This window comes from Homo sapiens, chromosome 2 (assembly GCF_000001405.40).
Source record: "Homo sapiens chromosome 2, GRCh38.p14 Primary Assembly".
NCBI lineage: Eukaryota > Metazoa > Chordata > Mammalia > Primates > Hominidae > Homo > Homo sapiens.
The window spans coordinates 92,126,447-92,138,145 of NC_000002.12; the positions used below are offsets into that span (position 1 = coordinate 92,126,447).

An 11,699-nucleotide genomic window follows, 5' to 3' on the forward strand; every position below is an offset into this window, starting at 1 on the left:
CTCAGCTAACAGAGTTTAACCTTTCTTTTGAGAGAGCAGTTTTGAAACATTCTTTTTGTGGAATCTGCAATTGGATATTTCTCTAGCTTTGAGGATTTCGTTGGAAACGGGATAACATATAAAAAGCTACAGCAGCATTCCCAGAAACTTCTTTGTGATGTTTGCATTCAAGTCACAGAGTTCTACATTCCCTTTCATAGAGCAGGTTTGAAACACTCTTTTTGTAGTATCTGGAAGTGGACGTTTAGAGCGCTCTCAAAACTATGGTGAAAAAGGAAATATCTTCCAATAAAAGCTAGATAGAAGCAATGTCAGAAACTTTTTCATGATATATCTACTCAGCTAACAGAGTTCAACCTTTCTTTTGAGAGAGCAGTTTTAAAACAGTCTTTTTGTGGAATATGCAAGTGGATATTAAGCCAGCTTGGAGGATTTCGTTGGAAACGGGAATCCATATAAAAAGCAGACAGCAGCATTCTCAGAAACTTCTTTGTGATGTTTGCATTGAAGTCCCGGATTTGAACATTCCCTTTCATAGAGCAGGTTTGAAACACGCCTTTTGTCATATCTAGAAGTTGTCCGTTTGGAGCGCATTCCGGCTTGTGTTGAAAAAGGAAATATCCTCCCATAAAAACTAGATAGAAGCACTCTCAGAAACTTATTTGTGATGTGTGTACTCAACTAACAGAATTGAACCATCGGTTTGAAAGAGCAGTTTTGAAACACTCCTTTTGTGGAATCTGCATGTGGATATTTGTCTAGCTTTGAGGATTTCGTTGGAAACGGGATTGTCTTCATATAAACTCTAGACAGTAGCATTCTCAGAAGCTTCATTGGCATGTTTCAGTTGAAGTCGCAGTGTTGAACAGTCCCTTTCATAGAGCAGGTTTGAAACACTCTTTTTGTAGTATCTGGAAGTGGACATTTGGAGCGCTTTCAGGCCTATGTTGAAAAAGGAAATATCTTCCCATAAAAACAAGACAGAAGCATTCTCTGAAACCGGTTTCTGAGGTGTGTCCTCAACTAACAGAGTTGAACATTTCTTTTGACAGAACAGTTTTGAAACACTCATTTTGTGGTATCTGCAAGTGAATATTTGGCTGGCCTTGAGGATTTCGTTGGAACCGGGAATACTTATAAAAAGCAGACAGCAGCATTGTGAGAAACTTCTTTGTGATGTTTGCATTCAAGTCACAGAGTTCAAAGTTCGGTATCATAGAGCAGGTTGGAAACACGCCCTTTGTCATATCTGGATGTGTCCGTTTGGAGCGCATTCAGGCTTGTGTTGAAAAAGGAAATATCTTCCCATAGAAACCAGACAGAAGCATTCTCAGAAACTTATTTGTGATGTGTGTACTCAACTAACAGAATTCAACAATCGTTTTGAAGGAGCAGTTTTGAAACACTCTTTTTGTGGAATCTGCAAGTGCATATGTAGCTAGATTTGAGGATTTCGTTGGAAACGGGATTACATATAAAAAGCAGACAGCAGCATTCCCAGAAACTTCTTTGTGATGTTTGCATTCAAGTCACACAGTTGAACATTCCCTTTCATAGAGCAGGTTTGAAACACTCTTTTTGTAGTATCTGGAAGTGGACATTTAGAGCGCTCTCAGGACTACGGTGAAAAAGGAAATATCTTCCAATAAAAGCTAGATAGAAGCAATGTCAGAAACTTTTTCATGATATATCTACTCAGCTAACAGAGTTCAACCTTTCTTTTGAGAGAGCAGTTTTGAAACACTCTTTTTGTGGAATCTGCAAGTGGATATTTGTCTAGATTTGAGGATTTCGTTGGAAACGGGATTACATATAAAAAGCAGACAGCAGCATTCCCAGAAACTACTTTGTGATGTTTGCATTCAAGTCACAGAGTTGAACATTCCCTTTCATAGAGCAGGTTTGAAACACTCTTTTTGTAGTATCTGGATGTGGACATTTGGCGCGCTTTCAGGCCTATGGTGAAAAAGGAAATATCTTCCCCTGAAAACTAGACAGAAGCATTCTCAGAAACTTATTTGTGATGTGCGCCCTCAACTAACAGTGTTGAAGCTTTCTTTTGATAGAGCAGTTTGGAAACACTCTTTTTGTGGAATCTGCAAGTGGATATTTGTCTAGCTTTGAGGATTTCGTTGGAAACGTGATTACATATTAAAAGCAGACAGCAGCATTCCCAGAAACTTCTTTGTGATGTTTGCATTCAAGTCACAGAGTTGAACATTCCCTTTCATAGAGCAGGTTTGAAACACTCTTTTTGTAGTATCTGGATGTGGACATTTGGAGCGCTTTCAGGCCTATGGTGAAAAAGGAAATATCTTCCCCTGAAAACTAGACAGAACCATTCTCAGAATCTTATTTGTGATGTGCGCCCTCAACTAACAGTGTTGAAGCTTTCTTTTGATAGAGCAGTTTTGAAACCCTCTTTTGGTAAAATCTGCAAGAGGATATTTGGATAGCTTTGAGGATTTCGTTGGAAACGGGATTGTCGTCATATAAACTGTAGACAGAAGCATTCTCAGAAGCTTCATTGGGATGTTTCAATTGAAGTCACATTGTTGAACAGTCCCTTTCATGGAGCAGGTTTGAAACACTCTTTTTGTAGTATCTGGAAGTGGACATTTCGAGCGCTCTCAGGACTACGGTGAAAAAGGAAATATCTTCCAATACAAGCTAGATAGAAGCAATGTCAGAAACTTTTTCATGATGTATCTACTCAGCTAACAGAGTTGAACCTTTCTTTTGAGAGAGCAGTTTTGAAACACTCTTTTTGTGGAATCTGCAACTGGATATTTGTCTAGCTTTGAGGATTTCGTTGGAAACGTGATTACATACAAAAAGCAGACAGCAGCATTCCCAGAAACTTCTTTCTGATGTTTGCATTCAAGTCACAGAGTTGAACATTCCCTTTCATAGAGCAGGTTTGAAACACTCTTTTTGTAGTATCTGGATGTGGACATTTGGAGCGCTTTCAGACCTATGGTGAAAAAGGAAATATCTTCCCCTGAAAACTACACAGAAGCATTCTCAGAATCTTATTTGTGATGTGCGCCCTCAACTAACAGTGTTGAAGCTTTCTTTTGATAGAGCAGTTTTGAAATCCTCTTTTTGTAAAATCTGCAAGAGGATATTTGGATAGCTTTGAGGATTTCGTTTTAAACGGGATTGCCTTCATATAAACTCTAGACAGAAGCATTCTCAGAAGCTTCATTGGGATGTTTCAATTGAAGTCACAGTGTTGAACAGTCCCTTTCATAGAGCAGGTTTGAAACACTCTTTTTGTAGTATATGGAAGTGGACATTTCGAGCGCTCTCAGGACTGCGGTGAAAAAGGAAATATCTTCCAATAAAAGCTAGATAGAAGCAATGTCAGAAACTTTTTCATGATGTATCTACTCAGCTAACAGAGTTGAACCTTTCTTTTGAGAGAGCAGTTTTGAAACCCTCTTTTTTTGGAATCTGCAAGTGGATATTTGTCTAGCTTTGAGGATTTCGTTGGAAACGGGATTACATATAAAAAGCAGACAGCAGCATTCCCACAAACTTCTTTGTGATGTTTGCATTCAAGTCACAGAGTTGAACATTCCCTTTCATAGAGCAGGTTTGAAACACTCTTTTTGTAGTATCTGGATGTGGACATTTGGAGCGCTTTCAGGCCTATGGTGAAAAAGGAAATATCTTCCCCTGAAAACTAAACAGAAGCATTCTCAGAAACTTATTTGTGATGTGCGCCCTCAACTAACAGTGTTGAACCTTTCTTTTGATAGAGCAGTTTTGAAACCCTCTTTTTGTAAAATCTGCAAGAGGATATTTGGATAGCTTTGAGGATTTCGTTGGAAACGGGATTGTCTTCATATAAACTCTAGACAGAAGCATTCTCAGAAGCTTCATTGGGATGTTTCAATTGAAGTCACAGAGTTGAACATTCCCTTTCATAGAGCAGGTTTGAAACACTCTTTTTGTAGTATCTGGATGTGGACATTTGGAGCGCTTTCAGGCCTGAGGTGAAAAAGGAAATATCTTCCCCTGAAAACTAGACAGAAGCATTCTCAGAAACTTATTTTTGATGTGCGCCCTCAACTAACAGTGTTGAAGCTTTCTTTTGATAGAGCAGTTTTGAAACTCTCTTTTTGTGGAATCTGCAAGTGGATATTTGTCTAGCTTTGAGGATTTCGTTGGAAACGGGATTACATATAAAAAGCAGACAGCAGCATTCCCAGAATCTTGTTTGTGATGTTTGCATTCAAGTCACAGAGTTGAACATTCCCTTTCAGAGACCAGGTTTGAAACACTCTTTTTGTAGTATCTGGATGTGGACATTTGGAGCGCTTTCAGGCCTATGGTGAAAAAGGAAATATCTTCCCCTGAAAACTAGACAGAAGCATTCTCAGAATCTTATTTGTGATGTGCGCCCTCAACTAACAGTGTTGAAGCTTTCTTTTGATAGAGCAGTTTTGAAACACTCTTTTTGTAAAATCTGCAAGAGGATATTTGGATAGCTTTGAGGATTTCATTGGAAACGGGATTGTCTTCATATAAACTCTAGACAGAAGCATTCTCAGAAGCTTCATTGGGATGTTTCAATTGAAGTCACAGTGTTGAACAGTCCCTTTCATAGAGCAGGTTTGAAACACTCTTTTTGTAGTATCTGGAAGTGGACATTTGGAGAGATCTCTGGACTACGGTGAAAAAGGAAATATCTTCCAATAAAAGCTAGATAGAAGCAATGTCAGAAACTTTTTCATGATGTATCTACTCAGCTAACAGAGTTGAACATTTCTTTTGAGAGAGCAGTTTTGAAACACTCTTTTTGTGGAATCTGCAAGTGGATATTTGTCTAGCTTTGAGGATTTCGTTGGAAACGGGATTACATATAAAAAGCAGACAGCAGCATTCCCAGTAACTTCCTTGTGATGTTTGCATTCAAGTCACAGAGTTGAACATTCCCTTTCATAGAGCAGGTTTGAAACACTCTTTTTGTAGTATCTGGATGTGGACATTTGGAGCGCTTTCAGGCCTATGGTGAAAAAGGAAATATCTTCCCCTGAAAACTAGACAGAAGCATTCTGAGAATCTTATTTGTGATGTGCGCCCTCAACTAACAGTGTTGAAGCTTTCTTTTGATAGACCAGTTTTGAAACACTCTTTTTGTAAAATCTGCAAGAAGATATTTGGATAGCTTTGAGGATTTCATTGGAAACGGGATTGTCTTCATATAAACTCTAGACAGAAGCATTCTCAGAAGCTTCATTGGGATGTTTCAATTGAAGTCACAGTGTTTAACAGTCCCTTTCATAGAGCAGGTTTGAAACACTCTTTTTGTTGTATCTGGAAGTGGACATTTGGAGCGCTCTCAGGACTACGGTGAAAAAGGAAATATCTTCCAATAAAAGCTACATAGAAGCAATGTCAGAAACTTTTTCATGATGTATCTACTCAGCTAACAGAGTTGAACCTTTCTTTTGAGAGAGCAGTTTTGAAACACTCTTTTTGTGGAATCTGCAAGTGGATATTTGTCTAGCTTTGAGGATTTCGTTGGAAACTGGATTACATATAAAAAGCAGACAGCAGCATTCCCAGTAACTTCCTTGTGATGTTTGCATTCAAGTCACAGAGTTGAACATTCCCTTTCATAGAGCAGGTTTGAAACACTCTTTTTGTAGTATCTGGATGAGGACATTTGGAGCGCTTTCAGGCCTATGGTGAAAAAGGAAATATCTTCCCCTGAAAACTAGACAGAAGCATTCTGAGAATCTTATTTGTGATGTTCGCCCTCAACTAACAGTGTTGAAGCTTTCTTTTGATAGAGCAGTTTTGAAACACTCTTTTTGTAAAATCTGCAAGAGGATATTTGGATAGCTTTGAGGATTTCATTGGAAACGGGATTGTCTTCATATAAACTCTAGACAGAAGCATTCTCAGAAGCTTCATTGGGATGTTTCAATTGAAGTCACAGTGTTGAACATTCCCTTTCATAGAGCAGGTTTGAAACACTCTTTTTGTAGTATCTGGATGTGGACATTTGGAGCGCTTTCAGGCCTATGGTGAAAAAGGAAATATCTTCCCCTGAAAACTAGACAGAAGCATTCTCAGAATCTTATTTGTGATGTGCGCCCTCAACTAACAGTGTTGAAGCTTTCTTTTGATAGAGCAGTTTTGAAACACTCTTTTTGTAAAATCTGCAAGAGGATATTTGGATAGATTTGAGGATTTCGTTGGAAACGGGATTGTCTTCATATAAACTCTAGACAGAAGCATTCTCAGAAGCTTCATTGGGATGTTTCAATTGAAGTCACAGTGTTGAACAGTCCCTTTCATAGAGCAGGTTTGAAACAATCTTTTTGTAGTATCTGGAAGTGGACATTTGGAGCGCTCTCAGGACTGCGGTGAAAAAGGAATTATCTTCCAATAAAAGGTAGATAGAAGCAATGTCAGAAACTTTTTCATGATGTATCTACTCAGCTAACAGAGTTGAACCTTTCTTTTGAGAGAGCAGTTTTGAAACCCTCTTTTTGTGGAATCTGCAAGTGGATATTTGTCTAGCTTTGAGGATTTCGTTGGAAACGGGATTACATATAAAAAGCAGACAGCAGCATTCCCAGTAACTTCTTTGTGATGTTTGCATTCAAGTCACAGAGTTGAACATTCCCTTTCATAGAACAGGTTTGAAACATTCTTTTTGTAGTATCTGGATGTGGACATTTGGAGCGCTTTCAGGCCTATGGTGAAAAAGGAAATATCTTCCCCTGAAAACTAGACAGAAGCATTCTCAGAATCTTATTTGTGATGTGCGCCCTCAACTAACAGTGTTGAAGCTTTCTTTTGATAGAGCAGTTTTGAAACACACTTTTTGTAAAATCTGCAAGAGGATATTTGGATAGATTTGAGGATTTCGTTGGAAACGGGATTGTCTTCATATAAACTCTAGGCAGAAGCATTCTCAGAAGCTTCATTGGGATGTTTAAATTGAAGTCACAGTGTTGAACAGTCCCTTTCATAGAGCAGGTTTGAAACACTGTTTTTGTAGTATCTGGAAGTGGACATTTTGAGAGTTCTCAGGAATACGGTGAAAAAGGAAATATCTTCCAATAAAAGCTAGATAGAAGCAATGTCAGAAACTTTTTCATGATGTATCTACTCAGCTAACAGAGTTGAACCTTTCTTTTCAGAGAGCAGTTTTGAAACACTCTTTTTGTGGAATCTGCAAGTGGATATTTGTCTAGCTTTGAGGATTTCGTTGGAAACGGGATTACTTATAAAAAGCAGACAGCAGCATTCCCAGGAACTTCTTTGTGATGTTTGCATTCAAGTCACAGAGTTGAACATTCCCTTTCATAGAGCAGGTTTGAAACACTCTTTTTGTAGTATCTGGATGTGGACATTTGGAGCGCTTTCAGGCCTATGGTGAAAAAGGAAATATCTTCCCCTGAAAACTAGACAGAAGCATTCTCAGAAACTTCTTTGTGATGTGCGCCCTCAACTAACAGTGTAGAAGCTTTCTTTTGATAGAGCAGTTTTGAAACACTCTTTTTGTGGAATCTGCAAGTGGATATTTGTCTAAGTTTGAGGATTTCGTTGGAAACGGGATTACATATGAAAAGCAGACAGCAGCATTCCCAGAATCTTCTTTGTGATGTTTGCATTCAAGTCACAGAGTTGAACATTCCCTTTCATAGAGCAGGTTTGAAAAACTCTTTTTGTAGTATCTGGATGTGGACATTTGGAGCGTTTTCAGGCCTATGGTGAAAAAGGAAATATCTTCCCCTGAAAACTGGACAGAAGCATTCTCAGAATCTTATTTGTGATGTGCGCCCTCAACTTACCGTGTTGAAGCTTTCTTTTGATAGAGCAGTTTTGAAACACTCTTTTTGTAAAATCTGCAAGAGGATATTTGGATAGCATTGAGGATTTCGTTGGAAACGGGATTGTCTTCATATAAACTCTAGAAAGAAGCATTCTCAGGAGCTTCATTGGGATGTTTCAATTGAAGTCACAGTGTTGAACAGTCCCTTTCATAGAGCAGGTTTGAAACACTCTTTTTGTAGTATCTGGAAGTGGACATTTGGAGCGCTCTCAGGACTACGGTGAAAAAGGAAATATCTTCCAATAAAAGCTACATAGAAGCAATGTCAGAAACTTTTTCATGATGTATCTACTCAGCTAACAGAGTTGAACCTTTCTTTTCAGAGAGCAGTTTAGAAACACTCTTTTTATGGAATCTGCAAGTGGATATTTGTCTAGCTTTCAGGATTTCGTTGGAAACGGGATTACATATAAAAAGCAGACAGCAGCATTCCCAGAAACTTCTTTGTGATGTTTGCATTCAAGTCACAGAGTTGAACATTCCCTTTCATAGAGCAGGTTTGAAACACTCTTTTTGTAGTATCTGGATGTGGACATTTGGAGCGCTTTCAGGCCTATGGTGAAAAAGGAAATATCTTGCCCTGAAAACTAGACAGAAGCATTCTCAGAAACTTATTTGTGATGTTCGCCCTCAACTAACAGTGTTGAAGCTTTCTTTTGATAGAGCAGTTTTGAAAAACTCTTTTTGTGGAATCTGCAAGTGGATATTTGTCTAGCTTTGAGTATTTCGTTGGAAAAGGGATTACATATAAAAAGCAGACAGCAGCATTCCCAGAATCTTCTTTGTGATGTTTGCATTCAAGTCACAGAGTTGAACATTCCCTTTCATAGAGCAGGTTTGAAACACTCTTTTTATAGTATCTGGATGTGGACATTTGGAGCGCTTTCAGGCCTATGGTGAAAAAGGAAATATCTTCCCCTGAAAACTAGACAGAAGCATTCTCAGAATCTTATTTGTGATGTGCGCCCTCAACTAACAGTGTTGAAGCTTTCTTTTGATAGAGCAGTTTTGAAACCCTCTTTTTGTAAAATCTGCAAGAGGATATTTGGATAGCTTTGAGGATTTCCTTGGAAAGGGGATTGTCTTCATATAAAATCTAGACAGAAGCATTCTCAGAAGCTTCATTGGGATGTTTCAATTGAAGTCACAGTGTTGAACAGTCCCTTTCATAGAGCATTTTTGAAACACTCTTTTTGTAGTATCTGGAATTGGAAATTTTGAGAGACCTCAGGAATACGGTGATAAAGGAAATATCTTCCAATAAAAGCTAGATAGAAGCAATGTCAGAAACTTTTTCATGATGTATCTACTCAGCTAACAGCGTTGAACCTTTCTTTTGAGAGAGCAGTTTTGAAACACTCTTTTTGTGGAATCTGCAAGTGGATATTTGTCTAGCTTTGAGGATTTCGTTGGAAACGGGATTACATATAAAAAGCAGACAGCAGCATTCCCAGTAACTTCTTTGTGATGTTTGCATTCAAGTGTCAGAGTTGAACATTCCCTTTCATAGAGCAGGTTTGAAACACTCTTTTTGTAGTATCTGGATGTGGACATTTGGAGCGCTTTCAGGCCTATGGTGAAAAAGGAAATATCTTCCCCTGAAAACTAGACAGAAACATTCTCACAATCTTATTTGTGATGTGCGCCCACAACTAACAGTGTTGAAGCTTTCTTTTGATAGAGTAGTTTTGAAACACTCTTTTTGTAAAATTTGCAAGAGGATATTTGGATAGCTTTGAGGATTTCGTTGGAAACGGGATTGTCTTCATATAAACTCTAGACAGAAGCATTCTCAGAAGCTTCATTGGGATGTTTCAATTGAAGTCACAGTGTTGAACAGTCCCTTTCATAGAGCAGGTTTGAAACACTCTTTTTGTAGTTTCTGGAAGTGGACATTTGGAGAGATCTCATTAATACGGTGATAAAGGAAATATCTTCCAATAAAAGGTAGATAGAAGCAATGTCAGAAACTTTTTCATGATGTATTTACTCAGCTAACAGAGTTGAACCTTTCTTTTGAGAGAGCAGTTTTGAAACACTCTTTTTGTGGAATCTGCAAGTGGATATTTGTCTAGCTTTGAGGATTTCGTTGGAAACGGGATTACATATAAAAAGCAGACAGCAGCATTTCCAGAAACTTCTTTGTGATGTTTGCATTCAAGTCACAGAGTTGAACATTCCCTTTCATAGAGCAGGTTTGAAACACTCTTTTTGTAGTATCTGGATGTGGACATTTGGAGCGCTTTCAGGCCTATGGTGAAAAAGGAAATATCTTCCCCTGAAAACTAGACAGAAGCATTCTCAGAAACTTATTTGTGATGTGCGCCCTCAACTAACAGTGTAGAAGCTTTCTTTTGATAGAGTAGTTTTGAAACACTCTTTTTGTGGAATCTGCAAGTGGATATTTGTCTAGCTTTGAGGATTTCGTTGGAAATGGGATTACATATAAAAAGCAGACAGCAGCATTCCCAGAATCTTCTTTGTGATGTTTGCATTCAAGTCACAGTGTTGAACATTCCCTTTCATAGAGCAGGTTTGAAACACTCTTTTTGTAGTATCTGGATGTGGACATTTGGAGCGCTTTCAGGCCTATGGTGAAAAAGGAAATATCTTCCCCTGAAAACTAGACAGAAGCATTCTCAGAATCTTATTTGTGATGTGCGCCCTCAACTAACAGTGTTGAAGCTTTCTTTTGAAAGAGCAGTTTTGAAACACTCTTTTTGTAAAATCTGCAAGAGGATATTTGGATAGCTTTGAGGATTTCGTTGGAAACGGGATTGTCTTCATATAAACTCTAGACAGAAGCATTCTCAGAAGCTTCATTGGGATGTTTCAATTGAAGTCACAGTGTTGAACAGTCCCTTTCATAGAGCAGGTTTGAAACACTCTTTTTGTAGTATCTGGAAGTGGACATTTGGAGCGCTCTCAGGACTACGGTGAAAAAGGAAATATCTTCCAATAAAAGCTACATAGAAGCAATGTCAGAAACTTTTTCATGATGTATCTACTCAGCTAACAGAGTTGAACCTTTCTTTTCAGAGAGCAGTTTAGAAACACTCTTTTTATGGAATCTGCAAGTGGATATTTGTCTAGCTTTCAGGATTTCGTTGGAAACGGGATTACATATAAAAAGCAGACAGCAGCATTCCCAGAAACTTCTTTGTGATGTTTGCATTCAAGTCACAGAGTTGAACATTCCCTTTCATAGAGCAGGTTTGAAACACTCTTTTTGTAGTATCTGGATGTGGACATTTGGAGCGCTTTCAGGCCTATGGTGAAAAAGGAAATATCTTGCCCTGAAAACTAGACAGAAGCATTCTCAGAAACTTATTTGTGATGTTCGCCCTCAACTAACAGTGTTGAAGCTTTCTTTTGATAGAGCAGTTTTGAAACACTCTTTTTGTGGAATCTGCAAGTGGATATTTGTCTAGCTTTGAGTATTTCGTTGGAAACGGGATTACATATAAAAAGCAGACAGCAGCATTCCCAGAATCTTCTTTGTGATGTTTGCATTCAAGTCACAGAGTTGAACATTCCCTTTCATAGAGCAGGTTTGAAACACTCTTTTTATAGTATCTGGATGTGGACATTTGGAGCGCTTTCAGGCCTATGGTGAAAAAGGAAATATCTTCCCCTGAAAACTGGACAGAAGCATTCTCAGAATCTTATTTGTGATGTGCGCCCTCAACTAACAGTGTTGAAGCTTTCTTTTGATAGAGCAGTTTTGAAACACTCTTTTTGTAAAATTTGCAAGAGGATATTTGGATAGCTTTGAGGATTTCGTTGGAAACGGGATTGTCTTCATATAAACTCTAGACAGAAGCATTCTCAGAAGCTT

At 38.4% G+C, this 11,699-nt stretch overlaps 15 annotated features.

The window, feature by feature from the left end:
- Positions 66-804: an enhancer, noted in NCBI's record as "OCT4-NANOG-H3K27ac-H3K4me1 hESC enhancer chr2:92314538-92315276 (GRCh37/hg19 assembly coordinates)". NCBI's record gives its function as "activates a minimal SCP1, AML or CMV promoter by ChIP-STARR-seq in naive and primed H9 embryonic stem cells {active_cell/tissue: H9 hESC(naive and primed)}" and the evidence as "EXISTENCE:reporter gene assay evidence [ECO:0000049][PMID:30033119]".
- Positions 805-1,542: an enhancer, noted in NCBI's record as "OCT4-NANOG-H3K27ac-H3K4me1 hESC enhancer chr2:92315277-92316014 (GRCh37/hg19 assembly coordinates)". NCBI's record gives its function as "activates a minimal SCP1, AML or CMV promoter by ChIP-STARR-seq in naive and primed H9 embryonic stem cells {active_cell/tissue: H9 hESC(naive and primed)}" and the evidence as "EXISTENCE:reporter gene assay evidence [ECO:0000049][PMID:30033119]".
- Positions 1,543-2,281: an enhancer, noted in NCBI's record as "OCT4-NANOG-H3K27ac-H3K4me1 hESC enhancer chr2:92316015-92316753 (GRCh37/hg19 assembly coordinates)". NCBI's record gives its function as "activates a minimal SCP1, AML or CMV promoter by ChIP-STARR-seq in naive and primed H9 embryonic stem cells {active_cell/tissue: H9 hESC(naive and primed)}" and the evidence as "EXISTENCE:reporter gene assay evidence [ECO:0000049][PMID:30033119]".
- Positions 2,282-3,019: an enhancer, noted in NCBI's record as "OCT4-NANOG-H3K27ac-H3K4me1 hESC enhancer chr2:92316754-92317491 (GRCh37/hg19 assembly coordinates)". NCBI's record gives its function as "activates a minimal SCP1, AML or CMV promoter by ChIP-STARR-seq in naive and primed H9 embryonic stem cells {active_cell/tissue: H9 hESC(naive and primed)}" and the evidence as "EXISTENCE:reporter gene assay evidence [ECO:0000049][PMID:30033119]".
- Positions 3,020-3,758: an enhancer, noted in NCBI's record as "OCT4-NANOG-H3K27ac-H3K4me1 hESC enhancer chr2:92317492-92318230 (GRCh37/hg19 assembly coordinates)". NCBI's record gives its function as "activates a minimal SCP1, AML or CMV promoter by ChIP-STARR-seq in naive and primed H9 embryonic stem cells {active_cell/tissue: H9 hESC(naive and primed)}" and the evidence as "EXISTENCE:reporter gene assay evidence [ECO:0000049][PMID:30033119]".
- Positions 3,759-4,496: an enhancer, noted in NCBI's record as "OCT4-NANOG-H3K27ac-H3K4me1 hESC enhancer chr2:92318231-92318968 (GRCh37/hg19 assembly coordinates)". NCBI's record gives its function as "activates a minimal SCP1, AML or CMV promoter by ChIP-STARR-seq in naive and primed H9 embryonic stem cells {active_cell/tissue: H9 hESC(naive and primed)}" and the evidence as "EXISTENCE:reporter gene assay evidence [ECO:0000049][PMID:30033119]".
- Positions 4,497-5,234: an enhancer, noted in NCBI's record as "OCT4-NANOG-H3K27ac-H3K4me1 hESC enhancer chr2:92318969-92319706 (GRCh37/hg19 assembly coordinates)". NCBI's record gives its function as "activates a minimal SCP1, AML or CMV promoter by ChIP-STARR-seq in naive and primed H9 embryonic stem cells {active_cell/tissue: H9 hESC(naive and primed)}" and the evidence as "EXISTENCE:reporter gene assay evidence [ECO:0000049][PMID:30033119]".
- Positions 5,235-5,972: an enhancer, noted in NCBI's record as "OCT4-NANOG-H3K27ac-H3K4me1 hESC enhancer chr2:92319707-92320444 (GRCh37/hg19 assembly coordinates)". NCBI's record gives its function as "activates a minimal SCP1, AML or CMV promoter by ChIP-STARR-seq in naive and primed H9 embryonic stem cells {active_cell/tissue: H9 hESC(naive and primed)}" and the evidence as "EXISTENCE:reporter gene assay evidence [ECO:0000049][PMID:30033119]".
- Positions 5,973-6,711: an enhancer, noted in NCBI's record as "OCT4-NANOG-H3K27ac-H3K4me1 hESC enhancer chr2:92320445-92321183 (GRCh37/hg19 assembly coordinates)". NCBI's record gives its function as "activates a minimal SCP1, AML or CMV promoter by ChIP-STARR-seq in naive and primed H9 embryonic stem cells {active_cell/tissue: H9 hESC(naive and primed)}" and the evidence as "EXISTENCE:reporter gene assay evidence [ECO:0000049][PMID:30033119]".
- Positions 6,712-7,449: an enhancer, noted in NCBI's record as "OCT4-NANOG-H3K27ac-H3K4me1 hESC enhancer chr2:92321184-92321921 (GRCh37/hg19 assembly coordinates)". NCBI's record gives its function as "activates a minimal SCP1, AML or CMV promoter by ChIP-STARR-seq in naive and primed H9 embryonic stem cells {active_cell/tissue: H9 hESC(naive and primed)}" and the evidence as "EXISTENCE:reporter gene assay evidence [ECO:0000049][PMID:30033119]".
- Positions 7,450-8,188: an enhancer, noted in NCBI's record as "OCT4-NANOG-H3K27ac-H3K4me1 hESC enhancer chr2:92321922-92322660 (GRCh37/hg19 assembly coordinates)". NCBI's record gives its function as "activates a minimal SCP1, AML or CMV promoter by ChIP-STARR-seq in primed H9 embryonic stem cells {active_cell/tissue: H9 hESC(primed)}" and the evidence as "EXISTENCE:reporter gene assay evidence [ECO:0000049][PMID:30033119]".
- Positions 8,189-8,925: an enhancer, noted in NCBI's record as "OCT4-NANOG-H3K27ac-H3K4me1 hESC enhancer chr2:92322661-92323397 (GRCh37/hg19 assembly coordinates)". NCBI's record gives its function as "activates a minimal SCP1, AML or CMV promoter by ChIP-STARR-seq in primed H9 embryonic stem cells {active_cell/tissue: H9 hESC(primed)}" and the evidence as "EXISTENCE:reporter gene assay evidence [ECO:0000049][PMID:30033119]".
- Positions 8,926-9,664: an enhancer, noted in NCBI's record as "OCT4-NANOG-H3K27ac-H3K4me1 hESC enhancer chr2:92323398-92324136 (GRCh37/hg19 assembly coordinates)". NCBI's record gives its function as "activates a minimal SCP1, AML or CMV promoter by ChIP-STARR-seq in primed H9 embryonic stem cells {active_cell/tissue: H9 hESC(primed)}" and the evidence as "EXISTENCE:reporter gene assay evidence [ECO:0000049][PMID:30033119]".
- Positions 9,665-10,402: an enhancer, noted in NCBI's record as "OCT4-NANOG-H3K27ac-H3K4me1 hESC enhancer chr2:92324137-92324874 (GRCh37/hg19 assembly coordinates)". NCBI's record gives its function as "activates a minimal SCP1, AML or CMV promoter by ChIP-STARR-seq in naive and primed H9 embryonic stem cells {active_cell/tissue: H9 hESC(naive and primed)}" and the evidence as "EXISTENCE:reporter gene assay evidence [ECO:0000049][PMID:30033119]".
- Positions 10,403-11,140: an enhancer, noted in NCBI's record as "OCT4-NANOG-H3K27ac-H3K4me1 hESC enhancer chr2:92324875-92325612 (GRCh37/hg19 assembly coordinates)". NCBI's record gives its function as "activates a minimal SCP1, AML or CMV promoter by ChIP-STARR-seq in naive and primed H9 embryonic stem cells {active_cell/tissue: H9 hESC(naive and primed)}" and the evidence as "EXISTENCE:reporter gene assay evidence [ECO:0000049][PMID:30033119]".